Source organism: Homo sapiens, chromosome 17 (genome assembly GCF_000001405.40).
Source record: "Homo sapiens chromosome 17, GRCh38.p14 Primary Assembly".
Taxonomy (NCBI): Eukaryota; Metazoa; Chordata; class Mammalia; order Primates; family Hominidae; genus Homo; species Homo sapiens.
In genome coordinates, this window is record NC_000017.11 from 45,148,468 (window position 1) to 45,175,196 (window position 26,729).

The 26,729-nt window shown below is 50.9% G+C and overlaps 2 protein-coding genes and 2 long non-coding RNA genes across 19 annotated transcripts, besides 16 other annotated features; 2 read left to right on the forward strand and 2 right to left on the reverse strand.

Annotated features, from left to right (window-relative positions):
- Window positions 8–3,632, forward strand: HEXIM1 (HEXIM P-TEFb complex subunit 1). Its single transcript, NM_006460.3, has one exon. The coding sequence runs from the start codon at window positions 724–726 to the stop codon at window positions 1,801–1,803; it is 1,080 nt and encodes a 359-aa protein (NP_006451.1). The 5' UTR covers window positions 8–723; the 3' UTR covers window positions 1,804–3,632.
- Window positions 397–446: an enhancer, noted in NCBI's record as "active region_12275". NCBI's record gives its function as "activates an Ori minimal core promoter by ATAC-STARR-seq in GM12878 lymphoblastoid cells {active_cell/tissue: GM12878}" and the evidence as "EXISTENCE:reporter gene assay evidence [ECO:0000049][PMID:35858748]".
- Window positions 497–546: an enhancer, noted in NCBI's record as "active region_12276". NCBI's record gives its function as "activates an Ori minimal core promoter by ATAC-STARR-seq in GM12878 lymphoblastoid cells {active_cell/tissue: GM12878}" and the evidence as "EXISTENCE:reporter gene assay evidence [ECO:0000049][PMID:35858748]".
- Window positions 597–706: an enhancer, noted in NCBI's record as "active region_12277". NCBI's record gives its function as "activates an Ori minimal core promoter by ATAC-STARR-seq in GM12878 lymphoblastoid cells {active_cell/tissue: GM12878}" and the evidence as "EXISTENCE:reporter gene assay evidence [ECO:0000049][PMID:35858748]".
- Window positions 1,111–1,666: an enhancer, noted in NCBI's record as "H3K27ac hESC enhancer chr17:43226945-43227500 (GRCh37/hg19 assembly coordinates)". NCBI's record gives its function as "activates a minimal SCP1, AML or CMV promoter by ChIP-STARR-seq in naive H9 embryonic stem cells {active_cell/tissue: H9 hESC(naive)}" and the evidence as "EXISTENCE:reporter gene assay evidence [ECO:0000049][PMID:30033119]".
- Window positions 1,195–13,071, reverse strand: HEXIM2-AS1 (HEXIM2 antisense RNA 1). Of its 2 annotated transcripts, NR_186789.1 has the most exons (3): window positions 12,994–13,071; window positions 10,863–11,025; window positions 1,195–2,452 (listed from the first exon to the last, which is right to left on the reverse strand). It is a non-coding gene; the product is annotated as an HEXIM2 antisense RNA 1 (long non-coding RNA). The 2 variants fall into 2 exon arrangements; NR_186788.1 differs by lacking the exon at window positions 10,863–11,025.
- Window positions 1,337–1,396: an enhancer, noted in NCBI's record as "active region_12278". NCBI's record gives its function as "activates an Ori minimal core promoter by ATAC-STARR-seq in GM12878 lymphoblastoid cells {active_cell/tissue: GM12878}" and the evidence as "EXISTENCE:reporter gene assay evidence [ECO:0000049][PMID:35858748]".
- Window positions 11,707–21,573, forward strand: HEXIM2 (HEXIM P-TEFb complex subunit 2). Of its 15 annotated transcripts, XM_047435323.1 has the most exons (5): window positions 11,707–12,476; window positions 13,364–13,564; window positions 14,021–14,168; window positions 14,280–14,392; window positions 20,548–21,573. In XM_047435323.1, exons 4-5 carry the CDS (start codon window positions 14,327–14,329, stop codon window positions 21,340–21,342), a joined length of 861 nt encoding a protein of 286 aa, XP_047291279.1. In that variant the 5' UTR covers window positions 11,707–12,476; window positions 13,364–13,564; window positions 14,021–14,168; window positions 14,280–14,326; the 3' UTR covers window positions 21,343–21,573. The 15 variants fall into 15 exon arrangements, with proteins under 15 accessions (XP_047291279.1, XP_011522610.4, XP_011522609.4 ...); XM_011524308.4 differs by lacking the exon at window positions 14,021–14,168 and having other exon boundaries at window positions 11,707–12,781; window positions 13,364–13,472; XM_011524307.4 differs by lacking the exon at window positions 14,021–14,168 and having other exon boundaries at window positions 11,707–12,781; window positions 13,364–13,472; window positions 14,283–14,392.
- Window positions 12,043–12,658: an enhancer, noted in NCBI's record as "NANOG-H3K27ac-H3K4me1 hESC enhancer chr17:43237877-43238492 (GRCh37/hg19 assembly coordinates)". NCBI's record gives its function as "activates a minimal SCP1, AML or CMV promoter by ChIP-STARR-seq in naive H9 embryonic stem cells {active_cell/tissue: H9 hESC(naive)}" and the evidence as "EXISTENCE:reporter gene assay evidence [ECO:0000049][PMID:30033119]".
- Window positions 12,659–13,274: an enhancer, noted in NCBI's record as "NANOG-H3K27ac-H3K4me1 hESC enhancer chr17:43238493-43239108 (GRCh37/hg19 assembly coordinates)". NCBI's record gives its function as "activates a minimal SCP1, AML or CMV promoter by ChIP-STARR-seq in primed H9 embryonic stem cells {active_cell/tissue: H9 hESC(primed)}" and the evidence as "EXISTENCE:reporter gene assay evidence [ECO:0000049][PMID:30033119]".
- Window positions 12,928–13,157: an enhancer, noted in NCBI's record as "active region_12279". NCBI's record gives its function as "activates an Ori minimal core promoter by ATAC-STARR-seq in GM12878 lymphoblastoid cells {active_cell/tissue: GM12878}" and the evidence as "EXISTENCE:reporter gene assay evidence [ECO:0000049][PMID:35858748]".
- Window positions 13,275–13,890: an enhancer, noted in NCBI's record as "NANOG-H3K27ac-H3K4me1 hESC enhancer chr17:43239109-43239724 (GRCh37/hg19 assembly coordinates)". NCBI's record gives its function as "activates a minimal SCP1, AML or CMV promoter by ChIP-STARR-seq in primed H9 embryonic stem cells {active_cell/tissue: H9 hESC(primed)}" and the evidence as "EXISTENCE:reporter gene assay evidence [ECO:0000049][PMID:30033119]".
- Window positions 13,308–13,507: an enhancer, noted in NCBI's record as "active region_12280". NCBI's record gives its function as "activates an Ori minimal core promoter by ATAC-STARR-seq in GM12878 lymphoblastoid cells {active_cell/tissue: GM12878}" and the evidence as "EXISTENCE:reporter gene assay evidence [ECO:0000049][PMID:35858748]".
- Window positions 13,518–13,647: an enhancer, noted in NCBI's record as "active region_12281". NCBI's record gives its function as "activates an Ori minimal core promoter by ATAC-STARR-seq in GM12878 lymphoblastoid cells {active_cell/tissue: GM12878}" and the evidence as "EXISTENCE:reporter gene assay evidence [ECO:0000049][PMID:35858748]".
- HEXIM2-AS2 (HEXIM2 antisense RNA 2) lies at window positions 20,338–23,018 on the reverse strand. The gene is made up of 2 exons (NR_135646.1): window positions 22,497–23,018; window positions 20,338–21,863 (listed from the first exon to the last, which is right to left on the reverse strand). It is a non-coding gene; the product is annotated as an HEXIM2 antisense RNA 2 (long non-coding RNA).
- Window positions 21,910–22,868: an enhancer, noted in NCBI's record as "H3K27ac-H3K4me1 hESC enhancer chr17:43247744-43248702 (GRCh37/hg19 assembly coordinates)". NCBI's record gives its function as "activates a minimal SCP1, AML or CMV promoter by ChIP-STARR-seq in primed H9 embryonic stem cells {active_cell/tissue: H9 hESC(primed)}" and the evidence as "EXISTENCE:reporter gene assay evidence [ECO:0000049][PMID:30033119]".
- Window positions 22,955–23,249: an enhancer, noted in NCBI's record as "tiled region #8248; HepG2 Activating DNase unmatched - State 1:Tss". NCBI's record gives its function as "activates a minimal TATA promoter and a strong SV40 promoter by Sharpr-MPRA in HepG2 cells {active_cell/tissue: HepG2}" and the evidence as "EXISTENCE:reporter gene assay evidence [ECO:0000049][PMID:27701403]".
- Window positions 23,415–23,709: a silencer, noted in NCBI's record as "tiled region #499; K562 Repressive non-DNase unmatched - State 7:EnhWF". NCBI's record gives its function as "represses a minimal TATA promoter and a strong SV40 promoter by Sharpr-MPRA in K562 cells {active_cell/tissue: K562}" and the evidence as "EXISTENCE:reporter gene assay evidence [ECO:0000049][PMID:27701403]".
- Window positions 23,827–24,785: an enhancer, noted in NCBI's record as "H3K27ac-H3K4me1 hESC enhancer chr17:43249661-43250619 (GRCh37/hg19 assembly coordinates)". NCBI's record gives its function as "activates a minimal SCP1, AML or CMV promoter by ChIP-STARR-seq in naive H9 embryonic stem cells {active_cell/tissue: H9 hESC(naive)}" and the evidence as "EXISTENCE:reporter gene assay evidence [ECO:0000049][PMID:30033119]".
- Window positions 24,786–25,743: an enhancer, noted in NCBI's record as "H3K27ac-H3K4me1 hESC enhancer chr17:43250620-43251577 (GRCh37/hg19 assembly coordinates)". NCBI's record gives its function as "activates a minimal SCP1, AML or CMV promoter by ChIP-STARR-seq in naive and primed H9 embryonic stem cells {active_cell/tissue: H9 hESC(naive and primed)}" and the evidence as "EXISTENCE:reporter gene assay evidence [ECO:0000049][PMID:30033119]".

Below are 26,729 nucleotides of genomic sequence, written 5' to 3' on the forward strand. Positions count from 1 at the left end.
GGGAGACAGCAGTTGGAAGTTGGCAGGTGGAGAGGCAGGTTGGGAGGGAAAGTCGGGGGAGGACGCGGAAGAGGAGCTGTGGGAAGGGGGAGGAGGGAGGGAGGAAAAGAGGAGGAGGCGGAGGAGAACTGAGCAGAGCAGAGCATCGAGCCAAAGGGGAGATGAGTTTGTCTGTCCTCTGCTGAGGCTACGGCCGGGCCTAGGGAACTGGGAGCTTGGGTGGAAGCGACACCCGTGGAAGTGGGAGGAGGTGGCGCCGGGACTTTAACCCCTTGTGGGCTCTGCGGCAGGGGATTTAACCCTTTGTGGATCTGGCCCCTCGGAGGCAGCGTCATCGGTAGTTTTAACCCCTTCGGGGCTGGGTTTCACGCACTGGACTTACCCTCATCACCTTGCTCACCAACTCCTTTATTGGGGTGCTCCGCTTGGAGGTTTGAGGCCCACCTCCGCCCATTACGTACTGTTCCTGCCGCTGCACCCCCTTGGACCCGCTAGCTGGCCGCACTGTGGGCGCTTAACCCTTTACTGACTTGAGCTCCCCAGATTGCAGTTGGAGTTTGCTGATAGAAGGACTAGCTAAAGGCGTCACTGCAGGAATTACAAACTGAAGAGGACTCTGTTGGACTGTTTTTTTTTTCTTTTTCTTTTTTTTAAGAAAAACCCATTTTTTTCCTTAAGGACTTACTAGCCAAAATTTCTTAAACTTCGAGGACTCTACTAGCCATGGCCGAGCCATTCTTGTCAGAATATCAACACCAGCCTCAAACTAGCAACTGTACAGGTGCTGCTGCTGTCCAGGAAGAGCTGAACCCTGAGCGCCCCCCAGGCGCGGAGGAGCGGGTGCCCGAGGAGGACAGTAGGTGGCAATCGAGAGCGTTCCCCCAGTTGGGTGGCCGTCCGGGGCCGGAGGGGGAAGGGAGCCTGGAATCCCAACCACCTCCCTTGCAGACCCAGGCCTGTCCAGAATCTAGCTGCCTGAGAGAGGGCGAGAAGGGCCAGAATGGGGACGACTCGTCCGCTGGCGGCGACTTCCCGCCGCCGGCAGAAGTGGAACCGACGCCCGAGGCCGAGCTGCTCGCCCAGCCTTGTCATGACTCCGAGGCCAGTAAGTTGGGGGCTCCTGCCGCAGGGGGCGAAGAGGAGTGGGGACAGCAGCAGAGACAGCTGGGGAAGAAAAAACATAGGAGACGCCCGTCCAAGAAGAAGCGGCATTGGAAACCGTACTACAAGCTGACCTGGGAAGAGAAGAAAAAGTTCGACGAGAAACAGAGCCTTCGAGCTTCAAGGATCCGAGCCGAGATGTTCGCCAAGGGCCAGCCGGTCGCGCCCTATAACACCACGCAGTTCCTCATGGATGATCACGACCAGGAGGAGCCGGATCTCAAAACCGGCCTGTACTCCAAGCGGGCCGCCGCCAAATCCGACGACACCAGCGATGACGACTTCATGGAAGAAGGGGGTGAGGAGGATGGGGGCAGCGATGGGATGGGAGGGGACGGCAGCGAGTTTCTGCAGCGGGACTTCTCGGAGACGTACGAGCGGTACCACACGGAGAGCCTGCAGAACATGAGCAAGCAGGAGCTCATCAAGGAGTACCTGGAACTGGAGAAGTGCCTCTCGCGCATGGAGGACGAGAACAACCGGCTGCGGCTGGAGAGCAAGCGGCTGGGTGGCGACGACGCGCGTGTGCGGGAGCTGGAGCTGGAGCTGGACCGGCTGCGCGCCGAGAACCTCCAGCTGCTGACCGAGAACGAACTGCACCGGCAGCAGGAGCGAGCGCCGCTTTCCAAGTTTGGAGACTAGACTGAAACTTTTTTGGGGGAGGGGGCAAAGGGGACTTTTTACAGTGATGGAATGTAACATTATATACATGTGTATATAAGACAGTGGACCTTTTTATGACACATAATCAGAAGAGAAATCCCCCTGGCTTTGGTTTCGTAAATTTAGCTATATGTAGCTTGCGTGCTTTCTCCTGTTCTTTTAATTATGTGAAACTGAAGAGTTGCTTTTCTTGTTTTCCTTTTTAGAAGTTTTTTTCCTTAATGTGAAAGTAATTTGACCAAGTTATAATGCATTTTTGTTTTTAACAAATCCCCTCCTTAAACGGAGCTATAAGGTGGCCAAATCTGAGAACAATTAAATTCATTTTAGTTATAATAAATTTAATATTTGTAAATGTAACATAGTTTCAGTGTGATTTCTAGAGCTAATTCAAAATAGTATTGATATATTTTATGTGACTGCATTTTTGGGGAGGGGTACCGAAATCGTTAAATTTGTCAGTTTGCAAAAATATCAATCTTTAATGGGAGAATTTTCAATTTGCCAATTTTTTCCTTGAATGGGTTTAAGTATGCTACAATATACAGTTCAGGCAAAATTTAAGATGTAATTATCTTCAATACTTAAGTGTGCTTGCTTTCTAGTGCCTTGGTTTTCTTTCTTGATGCTGGAAAAATAAACAAACCGGTATTGAGTGTTTAGGCGAGTGGAAAGTGGCTACAATCCAAAATTTTAAATTTAACTCTGCCTCGGCCATTCAAAAGTCTAATAACAAAAAATGTAAACCTAATTTGGCAGTTTGTTAGGTTAGACAACTGACAGCCTCATTTCATTCCTACAAGTTGGTTTTCAGTAATCTCTTCCTTCCCCCCAGTAAGGCTGGAAGAGGCTCTTGGCAAACTTCTTAGTGCAAGCAATGGTTAGATTAATTTGTGAGGCAGCTCTTTAAGACGTTCAGAGGTAAGAAATACTGGATTTATAAAGCAAATGGCTGTTTGGGGGATTCCAAGGATTTACCTAATTGTCCAATTCTACGTGCTCTCTATACCAAAACAAAAAAAAAAAGCTATCCACCTTTCCATGTGGGTCAAACTAAAATTAGAAATGTCCCCTCACTGCAGATCAAATGTAAAGCTTCCAGTTAAGGAGCTAAATGAGGTCCTCAGCTGAATGAGGAACCCTGTACATCCCCTTGCACAGCCCTATTCTAAATCGCTTAAACTATGCTGATAGCTGCTTAGGTTCTTGAGTAGTTCTGCTCTTAAACGTAGGGAGGCCCTGAGAACTAAATTTTGCCCCAAAATAAAAACAGAAATTATGAGATTGCCTCCTGTCATTTTGGTTAACCCAGTCCTTCACCTGCCCTGTGTCAGTGTCTTCTGAGGGCAATTGCGTTGCTCAAATCACTAGCACAGAGGTTCCTTAATTTGGGGCCTTAGAAACCATTGTGGGCCTTGGGGTCCATGAACCCCATGAAATTATTTGTAGACTTGTATGTACATTTTTCTGGGGAGAAGGTTCAAGAGATTCATAAGATTGTCAAACTCCTTGAAGGTTCAGAACCTCTGCAGGGAAGGGGGAAGAAAACCCTCCCATTAGGAAGCATGCTTTTGCAGTTAAATGGCGATGGTGGAGGTGATAGGGACTTCAAGAGTAAAATGCACCTTGTATTGCATAAGAAGCATACACAAATCAATAAATCAAGGGAGATTATACCAGTAGGACTGAATCAGGGCCTTCAAAGCTGGACTGAGTTGGTCCTGTTCTGGCACATATGGTCCACTGGAGACAATGTATGATTGAGTTTTTCTTTGGTCTAAAAATTATATTAAACATTTATTTTGAAATAGTTTTCTTCGTGTTTTTTTCTTCTGCTATGACGTCATGCAGCAGCCCCAGAAAAACAGCTGCTTGGAAAGGCAGCAACAGTGCCCTCTGGCTTTACAGTGCAGAGCTGAAGCCTCATTTTGACTGAACTGTAAGATGCAGCAGTGATTATCTCTGATATTAGACCCTTTTTCTTTATTTTTTTTTTTTTTTGAGACGGAGTTTCGCTCTTGTTGCCCAGGCTGGAGTGCAATGGTGCAATCTTGGCTCACCGCAACCTCTGCCTCCCAGGTTCAAGCGATTCTCCTGCCTCAGCCTCCCTAGTAGCTGGGATTACAGGCATGTGCCACCACCCCCAGCTAATTTTGTATTTTTAGTAGAGACGTAGTTTCTCCATGTTGGTCAGGGTGCTCTCGAACTCACGACCTCAGGTGATCCGCCCGCCTCGGCCTCCCAAAGTGCTGGGATTACAGGCATGAGCCACTGCGCCCAGCCCAGACCCTCTTCTTAAAGAGGGATTCAGCTATGAAAATCTTATTTCCCCTAGTATTAGAAAAATGATATTTAGAAAATGAATCTTGGAAAGACTATAAATGCATTTATCATCAGAAAAAGTATGTTTTAGAAGACAAATTCAGCCCAGTCTTCAAATATACAGATATCTAGGCTGGGCACAGTGGCTCATGCCTGTAATCCCAGCACTTTGGGAGGCTGAGGTGGGCAGATCACCTGAGGTCAGGAGTTAAGAGACCAGCCTGACCAACATACAGAAGCCCCGTCTCTACTAAAAATACAAAAATTAGCCGGGTGTGGTGGCACATGCCTGTAATCCCAGCTACTCGGGAGGCTGAGGCAGCAGAATCGTTTGAACCCGGGAGGTGGAGGTTGCAGTGAGAGGAGATCGCGCCATTGCACTCCAGCCTAGGCAAGAAGAGCGAAACTGTCTCAAAAATATATATATACACAAATATCTAATTACAAATAACTCTCATACATCAATTTACCTTAAGCTATGCAAGTATGTCTGAATTTTGCTTTCAAAGGCACTAGCATTTTACCTTTTTTTTTGCATTTATATTCTCACAATGATGAGGTTTATTCAAAATTTCAGTTTTAACACTTTCTATACTTTTTTTTTTTTTTTGAGACGGAGTCTCACTCTGTCGCCAGGCTGGAGTGCAGTAGCGTGATTTCGGCTCACTGCAACCTCAGCCTCCTGGGTTCAACCGATTCTCCTGCCTCAGCCTCCCGAGTAGCTGGGATTACAGGTGCACGCCACTGCAACTGGCTAATTTTTCTATTTTTAGTAGAGACGGGGTCTCGCCATGGTTGCCAGGCTGGTCTCGAACTCCTGACTTCAAGTGATCCGCCCGTCTCAGCCTCCCAAAGTGTTGGCAATATAGGCATAAGCCACCGCGCCTGGCTTTTTTTTTTTTTTTTTTTTGAGATGGGTCTTGCTCTGTTGCCTAGGCTGGAGTGCAGTGTCGCGATCTGGACTTACGGCAACCTCCACTTCCCAGGCTAAAGCGATCCTCCCACTGCAGCCTCCTGAGTAGCTGGTACTTGCCACCACGCCTGGCTATTTTTTTTTTTTTTTTTTTTTTTTTGGAGAGACAGGGTTTCACCCTGTTGCACAGGCTGGTCTCAAACTCCTGGGCTCAAACTCCTGGGCTCAAGCAATGCGCCCTCCTCCGCCTCCCAAAATTACAGTTGTGAGCCACCAAGCCCAGCCTATTCCTACACTTTTCTTTTTTTTGGGGGGGGGGTGAGGGATGGAGTCTTGCTCTGTCGCCCAGGCTGGAGTGCAGTGGCGCGATCTCGGCTCACTGCAAGTTCCGCCTCTCAGGTTCATGCCATTCTCCTGCCTCAGCCTCTCAAGTAGCTGGGACTACAGGCACCCGCCACCACGCTCAGCTAATTTTTTTTTTGTAGTTTTAGTAGAGACGGGGTTTCACCGTGTTAGCCAGGATGATCTCGATCTCCTGACCTCGTGATCCACCTGCCTCGGCCTCCCAAAGTGCTGGGATGATGGGTGTGAGCCACCACACCCGGCCTCCTATTTCTTCACTTTCTATTGAAACATTTAACTAGCATATTGCTCTCCTGGCAGAGAAAACAATTAGTTACCTATATTTTAATTTAAAAAAAAAAAGGTTGGGCCGGGCGTGGTGGTTCATGCCTATAATCTCAGCACTTTGGGAGGCTGAGGTGGGTGGATCTCTTGAGATCTGGAGTTAAGAGACCAGCCTGACCAATATGGAGAAACCTCATCTCTACTAAAAATACAAAATACAAAATTAGCCGAGCATGGTGGCAGGTGCCTGTAGTCCCAGCTACTTGAGAGGCTGAGGCAGGAGAATGGCATGAACCCGGGATGCGGAGTTTGCAGTGAGCCGAGATCGCCCCATTGTGCTCCGGCCTGGGCAACAGGAGTGAAACTCAGCCTCAAAAAAAAAAAAAAAAAAAGGCCGGGCGCAGTGGCTCACGCCTGTAATCCCAGCACTTTGGGAGGCCGAGGCAGGCAGATCACCTGAGGTCAAGAGTTCCAGACCAGCCTGGCCAACATGGTGAAACCCTGTCTCTACTAAAAATACAAAAATTGGCCAGGTGTGGTGGCTCACGCCTGTAATCCCAGCACTTTGGGAGGCCAAGGCGGGCGGATCACGAGGTCAGGAGATCGAGACCATCCTGGCTAACATGGTGAAACCCCGTCTCTACTAAAAATACAAAAAATTAGCTGGGTGTGGTGGCGGGCGCCTTTAGTCCCAGCTACTCGGGAGGCTAAGACAGGAGAATGGCGTGAACCCGGAAGGCAGAGCTTGCAGTGGGCCGAGATCACACCACTGCACTCCAGCCTGGGCAACAGAGCGAGACTCCGTCTCAAAAACAAAAACAACAACAAAAAAACACAAAAATTAGCTGGGCATGGTGGTGGGTGCCTGTAATCCCAGCTACTTGGGAGGCTGAGGCAGGAGAATCACTTGAATCCGGGAGGCAAAGGTTGCAGTGAGCCAACATCACGCCACACTGCACTCCAGCCTAGGTGGCAGAATAAGACTCTGTCTCAAAAAAAAAAAAAAAAAAAGCTTTTTTTTTTTTTTTAAAGAATTGGGGTTTCAACAGGCCCGGTGACTCACACCTGTAACCCTAGCACTTTGGAAGGCCAAGGTGGGCAGAATCCTTGAGCTCAGTAGTTTGAGACCAGCCTGGGTAACATAGTGAAACCCTGTCTCAAAAAAAAAAAAAAAGTTGAAAAAAAAAAAAAAAGATGGGGTCTCCCTCAGTTGCCCAAGCTAGACTGCAGTGGCGCTATCATATCTCACTGCAGCCTCAAATTCCTGGGCTTGAGTGATCCTCCCACCTCAGGTTCCTGAGTAGCTGGGACTAAAGGTGGATACCAACACACCCCGCTGATTTACCTACATTGAACAGGGGGCTTTGATGATAAATGAACCCCAAGCCCACTCTAGCCTTTCACTTAAGTCCTCTGTCAAGCATTTTAACTGAGCTGCTCAAAAGACCAGGCTTACAAATTAGCAATTTCAGTTTGTTCCCTTTTTCCTACTGGGGCCTAGGTATTCAATCAGGAAAAACTGCTTCTCAAACTGACACAGCTAGCTGGACAGCTTTTCTTAGAGCCCTCAGGAGACAGGGTCCTCTAGACTTCAGAGTTTTAGGAGAGAGAGCCAGGGAGTTCCAGATTGGTTTAGTTCTGAAAAACAGACTAAGTATCTCTAAAGAGGGGAAGCATAATAAAGATTAGACAGGCCAGGCGCAGTGGCTTCATGCCTGTAATCCTAACACTTTGGGAAGCCAAGGCAGGAGGGTCACTTGAGCTCAAGCACTTGACACCAGCCTAGGCAACACAGTTACCAACACAGGCAACATAACCAGCCTCGTCTCTATTAAAAAGTAAATTTAGGCCAGGCATGGTGGCTCACGCCTGTAATCCCAGCACGTTGGGAGGCCAAGGCAGATGGATCACTTGAGGTCAAAAGTTCGAAACCAGCCTGGCCAACATGGCAAAATCTCGTCTCTATTAAAAATACAAAAATTAGCCAGGCATCGTGGCGGGTATCTGTAATCCCAGCTACTCGGGAGGCTGAGGCAGGACAATTGCTTGAACCTGGGAGGCAGAGGTTGTAGTGAGCCGAGATCGCGCCACCGTACTCCAGCCTGGGCAACAGAGCAAGACTTTGCTTGGAGAAATGTAAATAAATATACTCTGCCCTAATGACTGCAAAAGTTAAAGAAACCAAAGAGGGACTCCACAGACTTAAACAACAAAACCCACAACCAAATACTCTACCTACTTAAGGGCTGGCTATATTTAGTCAAGCATTAGGTAATGCATCAGTTCTTCCCTTGATCACTTATACCCATAACAGCTAGCAACAAATATTCACAACAGTGTGGTGGAAAAGTTGGTTATAGTTAAAAAGTACTTGAACGTTAAGTACTTAAGTACACTTGAGTTTGTGGGGTTTCGAGGTTTGTTTTTTTGGGGGAAGTACTATTTCTCACATTTGCACAACATCACTGGAATAACAATTCCACTTTATTATTCTTTCTCAAGCAAAGTGTAAATGGTTGAGGCTAGAAATAAAAAGTTATTTTTTTAAAAAAAGAGAATGTTGCCAGGTACGGTGGCTCACGCCTGTAATCCCAGCACTTTGGGAGGCCGAGGCGGGCGCATCACAAGGTCAAGAGATCGAGACCATCCTGGCCAATATGGTAAAACTCCGTCTCTACTAAAAATACAGAAAAAAAATTAGCTAGGCATGGTGGTGCCCACCCGTAGTCCCAGCTACTTGGGAAGCTGAGGCAGGAGAATTGCTTGAACCCAGGAGGCAGAGGTTGCAGTGAGCCGAGACTGCGCCACTGCACTCCAGTCTGGTGACAGAGTGAGACTCTCAAAAACAAACAAACAAACAAAAAAAGCTACAAAAATTAGCCGGGTGTGGTGGTGGGCGCCTGTAATCCCAGATATTTGGGAGGCTGAGGCAGGGAGAACTGCTTGAAGCCGGGAGGCAGAGGTTGCGGCAAGCCGAGATCGTGCCACTGCACTCCAGCCTGGGCAACAGAGCTAGACTCCATCTCAAAAAGAAAAAAAAAAAAGAATGTCAAATTCAGGCCCTAAACACCATGGGAACTGCTGACCAAAGGATAAAAGTCATACTTTGCAACTGGAGCAAAATATATGGTCCAGGAGGCAAAATTTCAATCTTTGGCCAAATTTTTGCCAAAAAAGATCAAGAACAGGATGTTGGGGCCTAAACACAGGAGGGTAAAAAACTGATTAACTGGCCAGGCACCGTAGCTCACGCCTGCAATCCTAGCACACTGGGAGGCCGAGGTGGGCGGACCACCTGAGGTCAGGAGTTGGAGACCAGCCTGGCCAACATGGTAAAACCCTGTCTCTACTAAAAATACAAATACAGGCCGGGCACAGTGGCTCACTGACTGTAATCCCAGCACTTTGGGAGGCCAAGGTGGGAGGATCACCTGAGGTTGGGAGTTCAAGACCAGCCTGACCAACATGGAGAAACCCCATCTCTACTAAAAATACAAAACTAGCCGTGCATGGTGGCGCATGCCTATAGTCCCAGCTCCTTGGGAGGCTGAGGCAGGAGAATCGCTTGAACCCAGGAGGCAGAGGTTGTGGTGAGCCAAGATCACACCATCGCGCTCCAGCCTTGGCAACCAGGTGAAACTCCGTTCCAGAAAAAAATAAAATGCAAAAATTAGCCAGGCATGGTGGTGAGTGCCTGTAATCCTAGCTACGCGGGAGGCTGAGGCAGGAGAATCGCTTAAACCTGGGAGGTGGAGGTTGCAGTGGGCGAAATCGCGCCACTGCACTCCAGCCTGGGCGACAGAGCAAGATTCCATCTCAAAAGAAAAGGAAAAAAAATTGATTTAACTGTGGAAACCAAACAGAAGCAAGCATCTTCATCCCGAAGAGGGGGAATTACTGTAAAGAATCACTCCTTTTCTGCAATTATACAGGCAGCAGGAAAAAAAAACAAAAAAAAAACCTCCTACCTCTGTCAACGAATCCTACTCACACATAGTCACTGCTCCCTAGGATTTGGCCATCAGGCAAAATGAGTGTCCAGGACTTCACAGCCACAACCAGTGGGCACCCTGAGAGACTGATCCTCATTCAGCCTACTTGGATGGCTCTTTTGTGATGCTATGGACAACTAAGGCCACACTTTGGTAAGGCAGGCTTTCCAACTGCCCCAATGATCTTTGAAGCATTCCTTGTGAAGTTCTCATATAACAAAGTTACAAGGAGTAAGTGTTTACATAGCGACTTAAGACTAGTTACTCCTCTAGGTATTTATGAGGGAGACAGTGCTGATACCATTTTCAAATGAATATAGAGTTTGTAGAATTTGTCATAAAAGCATAATGCAACTCATCTGAGAGGGGAGAGCTGAAAAGGAAGTTGAAAGTCTGGTTGAACAGTAGATGAACAATAGACTAAGCAGCAAAATGACCAGTTTGGCCTCATTATCAGTATTTGGCCTCTGGCCAAGTCAACCAAGTTAAGGGCAGCACACACAGAAACAGAGCTCGGAGTTCCTAATTTTCAGTCCTACAGTCCTGTGTTTTCCTTAGATAACCAGGAGGCCACTAATAAGCTGGTTTTATTCCCATTTTTTCTTTTTTTTTTTTTGAGACAGAATCTTGCTCTGTCACCCAGGCTGGAGTGCAGTGGCACGATCTCGGCTCACTGCAACCTCCAGCCCCGGGGTTCAAGCAATTCTCCTGCCTCAGCTTCCCAAGTAGCTGTGACTACAGGTGCACACCACCACACTCAGCTAATTTTTGTATTTTTAGTAGAGATGGGGTTTCACCATGTCTGCCAGGACGGTCTCAATCTCTTGACCTCGTGATCTGCCCGCCTTGGCCTCCCAAAGTGCTGGGATTACAGGCGTGAGCCACTGTGCCCGGCCTATTCCCAATTTTTCTTAGCAAAGAATGGAAAAGCTTGTGGGTCAACCTTAAGGATAGTAAGTTTCATTTACAAATGAGTAACAAATTTCTGCTGCTGGTACAGTATTTGCCACTCAGTAGCATCCAAAAATTTCACTAGATTACTTCATAATGGAGGATGAATCCCAAGTGTCTAGGATCCTCCATTAAATTCTTGACAGAAGACCCACAAAGATCGTCTTTAAAAGCCTTTTCTGTTCCTATGACTATTTAAGTCCTACCAAGTTAGTTAGCTTTTTTAAACTCACATCTCTTGATCAGTGTAGAGCGAACATGTCATATGTAGGTAAAAAATCAAACCACAGTAGGCATCAAGTGTACTGAAGCTTCAGTTAGGAGTAAGTGGTTCCAGTTTTGGATTGAGGACCCTAGTCAATGATGATCCTATTTTGTAATCCAGTTGTAAAACATCTGGGGAGCAGAGGGAAAAAAGTTAATGCTATGGAGTTGTCACTCCAACTGAAGAAAAATTATTAATAGGAGGAGCAGAACTTCAGTTCTGGAAAACTTTTTTTTTTTTTTGAGACAGAGTCTTACTCTGTCACCCAGGCTGGAGTGCAACGGTGAGAGGCTCATGGCAAACTCTGCCTCCTGGGTTCAAGCGATTCTCCTGCCTCAGCCTCCCGAGTAGCTGGGATTACAGGCACGCAACTCCACACCCGGCTAATTTTGTATTTTTAGTAGAGAAGGGGCTTCACCATGTTGGCCAGGTTGGTCTCAAACTCCTGACCTCAGGTGATCCACCCGCCTCCACCTCCCAAAGGGCTGGGATTACAGGTGTGAGCCACCGCGCCAGGCCAAGTTCTGTTAAACTTTTAGTAAGGCTGAAGGCTTAGGCATGTTTTGACCATTTGTAACTGATAATAAGACTCATCACAAGGTACCCACAAAATTCACTGCCAGTCACTCTGCTACGTCAAAGCCTCTCCTACTTCAGCACCTACCTAGGCATAATTTTAACTGACATTTTAGCAATAAAACTTTTATTTGAAGATATCCTTGAGCCACAAATCTCTCTGGATTTAGATTTCAAGCAGTAGGAAGTAAGATGGTTTAACCTGCAATTCAATAAAAGAACTTCACATCAAACTTCAATCTTTAAGAAGCTGCTACAGCTATAATGTAAGGTTAAGAGTTTATTCTTTCAAAGCAGGTCTCCTCATCTCTTAAACGCTATACATATGAAGTAGATAAAAACTGGTTTCTTTTTTGGTAGCATTTAGGATCTACAAAAGTGATCCTTCAATTACTTGGAATTTCAAAAAATTGAGGTTACCTAGTAACAATGCACCAGTAGAACACAAAATACTCTGACTTTGTTTAGTCTGTGGGAAAAGAAAAATCTTTAAACTGGAAAGATTTTGTAGTCTTACAAAGATTACATTGGAATTGGAATTACTGTAGTTCGTTTTTCCCTCTAGGAGGGCAGCCATTTCTCTAAAAGTTGTGTAAAAGTTAAGACTAGGATTTCAAAATGCAAGCAGATGTTGATGAAGCATACGAAATGGGCAACTCCGTTTCTATTTCGGAGCCGCAGCGACTCCGACTTTGTGCCCCAACCCTGTAAAGGGCAAAACCTCATCCCTTCGGTGTAAACTTTCAAGAGAAGTGGGGCAGCACACTTTAGGCGTTTCACCAAGAGGCTGGCGACATGCTAGGTCAGGTTGTCCGGAGAATCGGGGCTGAATGGGAGAGATCTTGAGGGCAAGAGCCTCAGAGACCTTCAGGCACCGAGCTCGTGAAGGTTTCCAAGTGCCCCTCTCTAGCTGCTCCCAGGGGGAATTAGTGGTTGCTACAGTAGTTTAAGAGGGTCGTGGTTTTTCGCAACCCGGGCGGCGAGATGGCGCTTTGGTGTAAGCGAGGTAAGGTGGGTGCACTGGGATCTCCGCTCTCGGAGCCTCCAGCTGACTGCCACGCCGACTTGTGGCCAGACCTGCGACCTCCGCCCTCCCCCGCGGCGCCAGCCTCTGGAATCTGGCGTCGCCCCCACCTCTCCAGTCGAAGTGGGAGTCCCTCTGTGCGGGGCCTCGCCGCCATACCCAGGCCGAATGGGGGTGGGGAGGGAAGCTGGCAGAGCTCGGCCTCAGGATCCGCGCCCCTGTGGAAAGACCGCAGAGGGAAGCCGTTTCACCAGCCTCTCCCCTTCTGGGGTCTCGGGAAACACGCGGTAATTACCGAAGAACCCCGCACTCTGTGAGAGGCGAGGCTGCGGGGCTGCCGGGACGGTTTGAGGACCGGGCTCGGCCGAGGAGACTCCAACCTTCACCCTCCCTGGCCCCCGGTCCCACTTCCCGCCGTCTCCCGGCGCCGCCACTTCAGGTAGCCCACTCGGCCCGGCCTCTCCCCGCGCCCGGACCACCCCCCACGGGGTGCTCTCACTGCGCAGCGAGTCCCTCCGCTGCCTCCTCCCAGCCCAAAATGGCGGCGATGGCCGCCGAGCTTCTCGTCGCCTTCCTCAAAGGCCAAGGATCCCTCCGCGCCTGCTGCCCCGCCCACCTTAGCCGGATCTATTTTCTGCCCCGTAAAGATTAACGCCATCAATGAACTCTTTAATTGAGTTCGGAGAAGGCGGGTCCAGTTGTGCCTCCTCACAGCTAATCGTTGCCAAAAAAGCGAGAATATTGGCAGAAGGCTTGACCAATCAAAGAAGGCAGTGATGCGCGCGCGGTCTGCCCCCGCGCAAGGGTAGATGGGTTTTGGAGTCTCGGGTGTGGCTGTTGACGTTACAGGCCCTTGGATCGCTTTTCAGGCCAGAAGAACTACAATCCCCAGCAGGCACCGCGCGTCCAGGCTCTCTCTTCCCCCCCATCTTAGTGGCCTGAGCGGCTTGACCAGAGCTGCTGCAACTGCAGCAAGAGGTAGGGCTCAGGCGTTGGGAATTGCACCGACAGGCAGTCGCACAGAAAGGCACACAGATGTAGTGGTGTGCATAGCCCTTGACAGCGAATAGGTCAGTTCCACCTTTGCAAAACCTCTTTCCATGACTGTCTCCCTTCTTCCAAGAAATCCATCCTTATCCTAGTTGGGTTTCCCTCCCAGCTGCATGTAGTGCAAAGACCTCTTTCCCCTTTTCTCCTGTTTCCCTTTCTGAGAGGAAGGAGGGAGGCAGGCCAGGACCTTAGAGGAAAAGTCCTCAGCACTAGGCTGGCCCAGGTCCCAGCTGTGCTTCTGGCCTTTGGAGCCCAGCTTGGGGAGAAGGTTGGGGGTGCAGGGCTGCATCAAGATTGGGGCCACTGGAGACAGTGGGGAAGGACTCGTGAGCTTGCTCCATGTTCTCCCGTGGCAGCAGCAGCCCCGCTGCACTCCCAGCCTCCCCAGGCAGTCCTCCTTTGCCCCTTTGGTGGTTGGGGAAACAAAACTTACACCTGGCTTCCTGGCTGCCAACCTGGGCCTCGGTGACTTCCAGGAGGACAGTACAGGACATGAGTCCTGGTGAGGGACCCGAGGAGCAGGACAGAGAAGACGGCCCCTGAATCCCATTTGGCCCCTTGCTGGCTGGAGGTGTGAAAACCAGCGGTGGAGGCAGCCTTCGGGGCCTGCATTTGAGAATAAGGGTATGAAGGGCTGGGGTACAAAATGGCTGCCACTGCCTGGGCAAACAATTCTGGGCAGCCAGAGTATTCCTGACGTTCCTTCAGGATTTAGGTTTCTGTTGTTGTTCAAAGCAGGTGTCACTAGTTCCAGGCGTCTGCTGAAAGATTTGGAACAGAAGATGATGGCCACTCCGAACCAGACCGCCTGTAATGCAGAGTCACCAGTGGCCCTGGAGGAGGCCAAGGTAAGTCCCTGCCCTCCTGCCCACCCAAGCACCACGAGCACGGGTCCCACAGCTGAGATCCAAACTTCTTGTCCCAGATGTGTTGGTAGATTTGGAAAACCAGTATTTTGACGAATCAGTACTATGCACTAGGCAATAGGCCGGAATCCCAGTCTATGCTAGCTGATGAAATCTTAGTAACTGGCCGGGTGCGGTGGCTCACACCTGTAATCCCAGCACTTTGGGAGGCCTAGGTGGGTGGATCACCTGAGGTCAGGAGTTCGAGACCAGCCTGACCAACATGGCAAAACCCTGGCTGTACTGAAAATGCAAAATTAGCCTGGCATAGTGGTGGCGCATGCCTGTGATCCCAGCTACTTGGGAGGTTGAGGCAGGAGAATCGCTTGAACCCAGGGGTCGGAGGTTGCAGTGAGCCAAGATCTCGCAATTGCACTCCAGCCTGGGCGTCAGAGCGAGACTCCGTCTCAAAAAAAAAAAAAAAAAAAAAAAATCCTAGTAACCCTTTCAGGTAGGAATTATTTCCAATTCCCAGAAGCTAAGGTTCTGAGACCTGAAATACCTGTTCCAGAATCATGCTATCTACAAGCAACAGACCCAGGGTTTAAACTTAGGGCCTTCTGACAACAGAACATTGCCTTGACCTCAAGTCCAAAGAGGGCATGGAGGGACTGGGTTGAATGTTTACATTTTGTCCAGGCTAAGAACCAAGTCTGAAGCAGGAAGAAGAGTTTTTGGTTCATAATTTGGAATGGACCCAGGCAGGCAATTCACTTGAGACCAGAAGTTCAAGACCAGCCTGGCCAACATGGTGAAACCTCATCTCTACTAAAAATACAAAAATTAGCTGGGCATGGTGGCACATGCCTGTAATACCAGCTACTCAGGAGGCTGATGCACCAGAATCACTTGAACCCAGGATGCAGAGGTTGCAGTGAGCTGAGATCACACCACTGCACTTTAGCCTGGGCGACAGAGTGACACTCCATCTCAAAAAAGAAACAAAAACAAAAACAGGCCAGGCGCAGTGGCTCACGCCTGTAATCCTAGCACTTTTGGAGGCTGAGGTGGGTGGATCACCTGAGGTCAAGAGTTCAAGACCAGCCTGGCCAACATGGTGAAACTCTGTCTCTACTAAAAATACAAAAATTAGATGGGCGTAATGACAGGCGGCTGTAATCCCAGCGACTCAGGAGGCTGAAGCAGGAGAATCACTTGAACCCATGAGGCAGAAGTTGCAGTGAGCTGAGATTGTGCCATTGCACTCCAGCTTGGGCAACAAGAACAAAACTCTCTCAAAAAAAAAAAAATGCTGGAAGCCGGGTGCAGTGGCTCACGCCTGTAATCCCAGCACTTTGGGAGGCCGAGGTGGGCGGATCACCTGAGGTCACGAGTTCGAGACCAGCCTGACCAACATGGAGAAACCCCATCTCTACTAAAAATACAAAATTAGCCAGGCGTGGTGGCACATTTCTATAATCCCAGCTAGTTGGGAGGCTGAGGCAGGAGAATCGCTTGAAACTGGGAGGCGGAGTTTGCAGTGAACTGAGATCACGCCCCTGCACTCCAGCCTGGGCAACAGAGCGAGACTCCGTCTCAAAAAAAAACCAAAAAAACAAAAAAACCTGAAATTAGCCCGGCGTGGTGGTGCATGCCTGTAATCCCAGCTGCTTGGGAGGCTGAGGCATGATAATCACTTGAACCCAGGAGGCAGAGGTTGCACTGAGCTGAGATCATGCCACTGCACTCCAGCCTGGGTGACAAAGTCAGACTTTCTCAAAAATAATAATAATTTGTAATGGAGGTGGGGGTAGGATATAACCCACGAAAGAGGAGAGAGAAAGATCATATCAGGCCCTCAGAGGATGGCACTTCCCAACCTGGCAACAGGAACCCATGCTTGTTCGGCCCATGTTCTCTCAGTACCTGCCCTTACCCATTCTTCCTTAGTCCACGACTCCCTATAGATGAGCAGGGGGCTTAGGACAGAGGTCAGAGAGCTTCTGACCCACCCTGCCTAGCCCATTCCGTGTTTTCTGGATTGACTGAATTCGGAATTCATGACATGTCAGGGCTACAATGTTCAGCCAGGTCACACAGCTTATCTACAGTAGTGGTCATGGTGGTAGAGGGCCAAGTCTTCAGGAGGGAGGCAGCAGGTAGGGCTAGGGGGCTGGGCTCGCTTGGGTGAGGGTGGAGGATCAATAGGGCACTTCTACTGAGGGCTGGGAGCATGTGACTGATTGTGCACACCAACAAGCCACCATGCCTTGGCATCCCAGTGGCCTTGCCTGTCCCAGCTGGGGCAACAGCTCTGTCTTATTTGGCCCAAGCCACTGGTGGAGACAAGGGCTATTGCTTTTATTTCGTGATCTCCCTGCAGGTGAAGTAACACAACAAACTCCACATACGTACACACCCCACACACATACACACCCTGACATACCTCCTTTTCCCTGAAATTCTCTTCGGGGTCTGCAAAACACACATGACATATGCCTGGCTCTTAAGGGCCGCGCATACACCACATTCCTCAGTACACACCCTGTGTGCATGGACCACGCTCACATGTCTCTGAACTGCGTTGCATATTATTCAACAACATACCAGTGGTAGTGGTTATTATTAGAAATTGCCCAAACCACAAACTTAGAGCAATTCATTTCCCATCTCCCACACCCAGTACTCCCACCCTTCCCACAACAGAGATAAACAGATGCCCTGAACATACACTCTCTTGACAGCCTTTATACCTCTTAGATAAGTTCTGGAACTCTCTCACTGCAGACTGGAGGCTGACCCTCCCTCTCTTTGGAGAGGATCTCTTTCCTGCCATTCATATTGGAGAGTGATACCACCTACCAACTTCTGCCTGGAATAAATATGTTCCATCATTTTATTTTATTTTATTTTTTAATTTAATTTAATTTAATTTAATTATTTTATTTTATTTTTTGAGCCAGAGTCTTACTCTGTTGCCCAGGCTGGAGTGCAGTGGCGTGATCTCGCCTCACTGCAACCTCCGCCTCCCAGGTTCAAGCGATTCTCCTACCTCAGCCTCCCAAGTAGCTGGGATTACAGGTGCGTGCCACCACACCCGGCCAATTTTTTTGTATTTTTAGTAGAGACGGGGTTTGGCCATGTTGGTCAGGCTGGTCTCAAACTCCTGAACTCAGGTGATCTACCTGCCTTGGCCTCCCAAAGTGCTGGGATTACAGGCGTGAGCCACCACGCCCGGCCCGCTGCATCTTCTTTATGCCAGAAGGATAGAGAAGGGGAGTCTTTTTTTTGAGACTCCAGCTCTGTCACTCAGGCTGGAGCGCAGTGGCGCAATCACAGCTCACTGCAGCCTCAACCTTCTGGACTCAAGTGATCCTCCCACTTCAGCCTCCCAAGCAGCTGGGATTACAGGTGCTCACCACCATGCCTGGCTAATTTTTTGTAATTTTTGGTAGAGATGGGGTTTCGCCATGTTGCCCAGGCTGGTCTTGAACTCCTGGGCTTGAGCAATCCACCCTCCTTGGCCTCCCAAAGTGCTAGGATTACCAGCGTGAGCCACTACACCCGGCCGTAAGTCTTATTTCCCAATATCTTTTGGATCTCCCTATCCTATAATCTTTAGTCCACTTAACAGATATTTACTGAGCACTGCCCTTGTGCTGTGCATAGGAATATAGTGGTGACTTGGACAGACAGACGAGATGCGTTCTCACATGAGGAAGACAGATGTTAAATGGCCATATGCTAAATGCTATGTGCTAACTGTGTGATGTGATAGAATCACTAGGGAGGCGAGATGGGGGAGTCTACATTAGGTAGGGTGGTCAAGGAGGGGCTCCCTAAGGAAGTGACATTGGAACTAAGCTCTAAAAGATGAAAAAAGGTAGCTGGCAGTGGTGGCTCACACCTGTAATCCCAGTACTTTGGGAGGCCGAGGCGGGTGGATCACTTGATGTCAGGAGTTTGAGACCAGCCTGGCCAACATGGTGAAACCCCATCTCTACTAAAAATACAAAAAATTAGCTGGGCATGGTAGTGGGCACCTGTGATCCCAGCTACTCTGGAGGCTGAGGCAGGATAATCGCTTGAACCTGGGAGGTGGAGGTTGCAGTGAGCTGAGGTCGGGCCACTGCACTCCAGCCTGGGTGACAGAGCAAGACTCTGTCTCAAAAAAAAAAAAAAAAAAAGCCCAGGTGCAGTGGCTCATGCCTATAATCCCAGCACTTTGGGAGGCCAAGGTGGGCAGATTACTTGAGGTCAGGAGTTCCACACCAGCCTGGCCAACATGGTGAAACCCCATCTGTACTAAAAATACTAAAATTAGCCTGGCATGGTGGTACACGCCTGTAGTCCCAGCTACTCAGGAGGCTGAGGCAGGAGAATCGCTTGAACCTGGAAGGCGGAGGTTGCAGTGAGCTGAGATGGCAACACTGCACTCCAGCCTGGGCAACAGAGCAAGACTCTCACACACACACAAAAAAAAAGATGAAAAAAAAGCCATGCAAATAGCTGGAAGCAGGATCAGCTGCATAATTTGTGGGGCCCAGTGCAAAAGGGCACCTTATTCAAAAATTATTAAAAAGTTAAAGACAGTGGCCAGGTGTGGTGGCGCATGCCTGTAGATCCAGTTACTTGAGAGGCTAAGGCAAGAGGATTGCTTGAGTCTAGGAGTTTGAGGCTGCAGGGAGTTATTATTGCACCTCACTGCATTCTTGCCTGGGCAACAGAGTAAGACCCTGTCTCTAAAAATAAGAGTCTTTTTTGTTTGTTTGTTTGTTTGTTTGTTTCGAGATGGAGTCTCACTCTGTCGCCCAGGCTGAAGTGCAGTGGCGCGATCTCAGCTCACTGCAAGCTCCGCGTCCCGACTAGCTGGGACTACAGGCGCCCGCCATCACACCCAGCTAATTTTTTTTGTATTTTTAGTAGAGATGGGGTTTCACCACATTAACTAGGATAGTCTCGATCTCCTGACCTCGTGATTCACCCATCTTGGCCTCCCAAAGTGCTGGGATTACAGGTGTGAGCCACCTCGCCCGGCCTGTTTGTTTGTTTTTGAGATGGAGTCTCGCTCTGTCACCCAGGCTGGAGTGCAGTGGTGTAATCTTGGCTCACTGCAACTTCCGCCGCCCACATTCTCCAGCCTCAGCCTCCTGCATAGCTGGGATCACAGGCACGTGCCACCACGCCCGGCTTATTTTTGTATTTTTCGTAGACATAGGGTTTCACCATGTTGGCCATCCTAGTCTCGAACTCCTGACCTCAGGTGATCCGCCCACCTCGGCCTCCCAAAGTGCTGGGATTACAGGCCTGAGCCACCATGCTGAGCCTAAAAAACTTATTTTAGGCCTTGCGCGGTGGCTCACACCTGTAATCTCAGCACTTTGGGAGGCCGAGGCGGGTGGATCACCTGAGGTCAGGAGTTTGAGACTAGGCTGGCCAACATGGTGAAACCCTGTCTCTACTAAAAATACAAAAAATTAGCCAGGCGTGGTGGCACGTGCCTGTGATCCCAGCTACGCGGGAGGCTGAGGCTGGAGAATTCCGGAGGCAGAGGTTACAGTGAGCCGAGATTGCACCACTGCACTCCAGCCTGGGTGACAGAGCGAGACTCCATCTCAAAAAATGAAATAAAATAAGGTTTTTTTTTTTTTTGAATAACATGTTTAAGAGAAGGACAGCATGAAGCCAGGTGTGGGGCCTCTGTGGGACTTCACAGGTCACCTGCCCATGAAGCCAGTGGTGTTTGAAAGTCAGGTTTTCTGGGAAGAGGGAAGAGCCGGTGCCATTTGGGCTTCTGATCAAGCAAATGCATCAAGATCCACCTTCTATCCCAGTTTTCTTCTTCTCCTACTTTACTCATTTGGACAGTATTTATGGAACTCCTACTCAGTGCCAGGTATTATTCTAGGCATTGAAATTACAGAGTGAAACACACAGGCAAAATTCCTGCTCTCACCATGAGTTTACTTGGGGAAGGTTGGGGGACAGACAGTAGACAGGTCTCTTTGTAAACAAATGGTTCCAAAAGGTTGAGGGGCTAAGAGTGACCAAGTTAGCTGAGTGTAGGAAGGTAGGCTTCAGGCTAGGTAGAGAGGGAAAGGTTCCACCTCCAAGGACAGGCTGTCTGATCCATCCTTCTTCCTCCTCCCTCTCTTTAGACCTCTGGTGCCCCGGGGAGCCCCCAAACACCCCCTGAGCGTCATGACTCTGGTGGTTCCCTGCCCCTGACACCGCGGATGGAGAGCCACTCAGAGGATGAAGATCTTGCTGGGGCTGTCGGTGGCCTGGGCTGGAACAGTAGGAGTCCCCGGACCCAGAGCCCAGGGGGCTGCTCAGCGGAGGCTGTGCTGGCCCGGAAGAAACACCGTCGGCGGCCATCGAAGCGCAAAAGGCACTGGCGACCCTACCTGGAGCTGAGCTGGGCTGAGAAACAACAGCGGGATGAGAGGCAGAGCCAGAGGGCCTCCCGGGTCCGCGAAGAGATGTTCGCCAAAGGCCAGCCCGTGGCCCCCTACAACACCACCCAGTTCCTGATGAATGACAGGGACCCGGAGGAGCCCAACTTGGATGTGCCCCATGGGATCTCCCACCCAGGTTCCAGTGGGGAGAGTGAGGCCGGGGACAGTGATGGGCGGGGCCGAGCGCACGGTGAGTTCCAGCGGAAGGACTTCTCTGAGACTTACGAACGCTTCCACACCGAGAGCCTGCAGGGCCGCAGCAAGCAGGAGCTGGTGCGAGACTACCTGGAGCTGGAGAAGCGGCTGTCGCAGGCGGAGGAGGAGACTAGGAGGCTGCAGCAGCTGCAGGCGTGCACCGGCCAGCAGTCCTGCCGCCAGGTGGAGGAGCTGGCTGCCGAGGTCCAGAGGCTCCGGACCGAAAACCAGCGGCTTCGTCAGGAGAACCAGATGTGGAACCGAGAGGGCTGCCGCTGTGATGAGGAGCCGGGTACCTAGGGGTGCCTCCCAGCCTGGTGGACCCAAGGAGAAGGTCCCATTTCGTGCACACTCAGGCCAGCTGGGTCTCAAGGAGGCAGGTGGCAGATGAAAACCACCGTCAACACCCTGTGCGCCCTGAGAACAGCTAAATCGGTTCAGACTCCCACCTCACCGTTTCCATAGTTGGCTCTTTTGTGTCATCTTACCCTTTACAGAGAAATTAAATGGCCTTGGTGGGACCAAATGGGAGTATCTAGGATTGATTTCACTAGGGCTGTTGTGAGAACCAAAACATTTGCCCCAGAGAGGTCTGAGTGGGGTCCCAGTCCCTGCTGCCCCAAGCCTGGCAGGACAGCAGACCTCTGGATGGGGACCTCCCAAGGTCTCCGGGATACCTGAATCCTGCTCTGTGGGTGTTGGAGCAATCAGACTGCACAGAAGGTTTTCTAGGTGGGAGGGAGTTCAGTCAGGAGCCCCCAGTTTCGGCCAGAAACTGACGCTCAAGATACCAGATCGCTGTGAGGAGTTGTGAGCTTTCCCTGGAGGAGAGAACGGGGGTTTTCGGAGAAGACCCAGGCCCAGGGGTTCCTTCAGAGTTTGCTCCTGAGCTCCCTGTATTCTCCCCACAGTTTAAAGGCTGGACTAGACGGGTTCTGGGTGCCTTGTGCCTCCTTGTTCTTGACAGCCCCCAACCCTGACCCCTCTCTGCAGGGGGTTGGGCCTGAGGTTAGTCATCATGTGTTTGTGTTTGTCCCTTACCTCCCAAGGGTAATAAGGGAGGCGCTCTCCTGATGGAAAATAAAGTCAAGAGACAGAGGGGGACAGCACATGGATCGCCAGCAGAGCAGAGCAGCCTGGCTCTCCTGGTGCCTGCCATGTGTCTGTGCGTCCTGCTCCTCTCAGCCTCATCATGTGGGTGTGAATTCTCTGAAGTGTGTGAGGCCCTCGCCTGTCTGCATCAGAGAGAGCTGGGTCAGCCTGGGTAACGCAGATACCACCAGCCAGCGTCAGGCTCTGAGACAAGCTCACCCACCCCCTCGCACTCAGACCCACCCTTCCCCAGACACCCTGTCTCTTCCATCCCCTCCTGGTGCCCTTGCAGACTGGTGTTGGGTGTCAGGCAGCAATGAACATGGACAACTAATGGTGGCGGAGGAAATTAGTCAACTCACCAGTGAGCCAGTGCTGGCTGTGCCACCAGGCAAGGGGAGGGGCAGAGGCCTGGCTGCCCAGTCTGGCTTCTCTTCCAGGCCGTCATCTTGACAGGCCACACTGGGCAAGATGAGGCTTGGCCCAGGAGCTGCTGGGGATGGAAATGTTGATGAAATCTTGTGTGTTGCCAGGACAACTTTCATTTCTATCCTGCCACACCCAGGCCTGGCCAGAGCCTCCTACAATGAAACACAGAACAGATTCTAGGAACGCATGGGTTTCAAGAGAAAGCAAAATCTCATCCTGGGAGACCTGCCCCTGGAACCCTGGGTCCTCAGACAGCTCAGTCAGGAAGGGCAGCAGGAATGATCATCGCCACTTTGCAGACGGGAAACCGGAGGCTTAGCGAGGAAGTGGCTTTTTGGATTCCAGGAGAGCCTCTGGAGGCCTGCCTGCCCCTGTGGGGTGCTGTGGGGTGCTAGCCTGGGACCCAGAGGCCCCTTGGCATTTGCTGGCAGCCTCCCAGCTGCATTCCTCAGCATGGAGCCCGAGGGAGAGAGGAGGCCTGGGACAAAGGTGGACAAAGGTTGTTTACCCGGAGGTGCCTCTGTGTGTGTGTGTCTAGGAGGTGAGAGAAGATTCCAGAGGGCTGCTGGAGTGTCGGGGGAGGGGTGTGGGTGAGGGTGCTGGGTGCTCATTGTGGGCTGGTTATGCCAGGGAGGGGCAGGTGAAGAGTTTGGCCTTTCTTGGCCCAGAAGCTGAGGAGCCTGGAGGCAGGGAAGCTGCCAGCTGCTCCTCCAACATCCCCCTTACACGTAAAAGGCTGAAGGGCGCAAATAGGGCAGCACCTCGGTGGGTTAATTCCCGCACCCCCACCTCACCCCGCTGGAGGGCGGGTGGGGCAAGAAGAGAACAAAGGAGAGGATGCTAGCCGGGAGTGTGGGAGGGCCTGAACCCAAATGGGAGGGGTCCGTGAAAAGGGTCCCTGTCTGCCCCTCCCCCTGTCTGGCTCCCTGATTCCTGGGTAAGGGGTGTGCAGGGAGGAGATCGTCCTGGGGCCAGAGCTGGGGCTTAGCACTGGAGAGAACCGGCTCAGCTGTGGGTGGGAGCCAGGCCTGGGTCCCTCGGTGCCCCGCCCCCTTCGCTGCTTCCAGTTGTTCCCACACCTGCTGCTTGGTCTTGAAGCCTGGGCCTCCACTCCGCCTACTGCAATGGTGGAAGCTCCAGTTTACAAGACACCCCCACCCCCACATCACACGCCCTAGCTGGGGAAGTTGGGCTTGGACACAGCCTCCCTGGGCCTTTCCACAGCTGCCCTCACGCCCTGTGCTTTCTGGGACCCTCTTGGTCAACTGGGCCGGGGAAGGGAAGCGCAGAGAACATATGTTTCATGGGAGTGACTGTTGAAGCCTCCCACCACCCCTGCCCAGCCTGTCTTAGGATCCCTCTTTCTTCCCCGGCAGGAACTGCCCGACCCCAGGTGGAAACTCCTGTGCCCAGTGGACAGACCCTGCCTGCAATAGGGTCAGAGTATGAGGGAGAGGGGTAGGCAGAGATTGGTGGGCTGGGGCAGGAAGAAGCTGCCAGGGAGTGGGGGGAGGGGGTCCAAAGGGAAGTAACGGTATTGGGGGGAAAGGTGGCCAGGTCCCATTGCCCTTGTTGGGAACAGGCAAGTGTGGCACTGGCCCTTTAAGTGGGGGTGCCAGTCAGTGCCCTCCCCCAACCAACCCAATTCATGGGCACACTGAGCATGTGCAGGGGCTGTGCATGTGGGGAGGGGAGGAGAGGGGAGGGGAGAGGGGGGCATACATTCCGGAGGGAGCTTCTCATCCCCCTACTTCCGGTAGCTGCCCCCACTCTCCTTCCTGGGTCTGACAAAGGAGCCCATGGTGCTCACCCAATCCCTTCCCCCACCCCAGGCCCCAGGGGGTGCTGCCCTCTGCAAGTGCTGAAGCTGCCATGGGTGCTGGGCAGGCCCTCTCTGCCCTGGGGAGTCTCCTGGCCGCCTGGAGGTGGCACACATGCAGCCCAGTGCCGGCCTCACTTCCCTGGTGTGGGCGGCGGCGAATCTTCCTGCTGCCTACGTGTTCCATTTCATTCCATTGGTGCCAGGGTTTTTAAAAGAACCATCCACCTGTGATGCCACTTTGAAAGTGAAACAGCTCAAAGGATGCAGGCCCTACCCCCTAACCAGGACCTTCCAGTCAGAGAGGAAGCAAACAGCCCAGAGGCTGCAAGGGCCTTCCTTGAATCCCGCTCCTTCTGCTTCTCCCCTGCTGGCCAAGGGATCAAAGTCAGCTTCCTCCAGACTACCTTCACCTGCAGCCTGGGACCTTCCCTCAAACCTTTCCACCACCTAAACCTTACCTGTTTCTGCCAAGTCTTCCCCTCTCCCAGCCCTCAGCCCCTCCTGTTACCACCCCTACCTCTTTAGCACTTGTCCACTCTTAGCTACTGGTACCATTCTTTTTATTTTTTATTTATTTATTTTTTTTTGAGACAGAGTCTCACTGTTGCTCAGGCTGGAGTGCAGTGGTGCGATCTCAGCTCACTGCAACCTCTGCCCCCCCAGGTTCAAGCAATTCTCCTGCCTCAGCCTCCCGAGTAGCTGGGATTACGGGCACCTGCCACGACGCCCAGCTTATTTTTGTATTTTTAGTAGAGACGGGTTTACATCCTGTTGGCCAGGCTGGTCTCAAAAACTCCTGACCTCAGGTGATCTGCCCATCTCAGCCTCCCAAAGTGCTGGGATTATAGGCATGAGCCACCATGCCCAGCTTATTTTTCATTCTTTTTTTGTTTGTTGTTTTGGTTTTTGAGACGCAGTTTCACTCTTGTTGCCCAGGCTGGAGTGCAATGGCGCAGTCTCAGCTCACTGCAACCTCCGCCTCCCAGGTTCAAGCAATTCTCCTGCCTCAGCCTCCGATGTAGCTGGGATTACAGGTGCCCGCCACCATGCCCAGCTAGTTTTTGTATTTTTAGTAGAGACAGAGTTTCAGCCTGTTGGCCAGGCTGGTCTCAAAAACTCCTGGCCAGGCGCAGTGGCTCACGCCTGTAATCCCAGCACTTTGGGAGGCTGAGGTGGGCGGATCACGAGGTCAGGAGATCGAGACCATCCTGGCTAACACTGTGAAACACTGTCTCTACTGAAAATACAAAAAAATAACCGGGTGTGCTGGCGGGCGCCTGTAGTCCCAGCTACCGGGAGGCTGAGGCAGGAGAATGGCATGAACCTGGGAGGCGGAGCTTGCAGTGAGCCGAGATCGCGCCACTGCACTCCAGCCTGGGCGACAGAGCCAGACTCCGTCTCAAAAAAAAAAAAAACAAAAAACTCCTGACCTCAGGTGATCCGTCCACCTTGGCCTCCCAAAGTGCCAGGATTAAAGGCGTGAGCCACCGCACCCAGCCTATTTTTCATTCTTGAAGTGAAATTTACATGCCACAAAATCACCCCTTTAAAAGTGAACAAAGGGCGGGTGTGGGTGGCTCATGCCTGTAATCCCAGCACTTTGGGAGGCTGAGGTGGGCGGATTACCTGAGGTCAGGAGTTCGAGACCAGCCTGGCCAACAGGGTGAAACCCCATCTCTACTAAAAAATATAAAAATTAAGTCAGGCACGCTGGCTCACACCTGTAATCCCAGCACTTTGGGAGGCCAAAGCAAGTGGATCATGAGGTCAGTAGTTTGAGACCAGCATGACCAACATGGTGAAACCCCGTCTCTACTAAAAATACAAAAATTAGCCGGGTGTGGTGGCGTGCACCTGTAATCCCAGCTACTCAGGAGGCTGAGGCAGGAGAATCACTTGAACCCGGGAGGTGGAGGTTGCAGTGAGCTGAGATCGCACCACTGCACTCCAGCCTGGGCAGCAGAGTGAGACTCCGTCTCAAAAAAACAAAAAAAAAAAAAAAGAAAAAAGAAAAAAAATTAGTTGAGCGTGGCGGCATGTGCCTATAATCCCAGCTTCTTGGGAGGCTGAGGCAGGACAATCTCTTGAACCCAGGAGGCGGAGGTTGCAGTGAGCCGAGATCGCACCACTGTACTCCAGCCTGGGCGACAGAGCGAGACTCCTTTTAAAAAAAAAAAAAAAGAAAAGAAAAAAAGTGAATAAGGCCAGGGCATGGTGGCTCACATGTGTAATCCCAGCACTTTGAGAGGCCCAGGTGGGAAGATTGCTTGAGCCCGAGTTCGAGACCAACCTGTGCAACATGATGAGACCCTGTCTCTACCAAAAAAAAAAAAAAACAACCAAA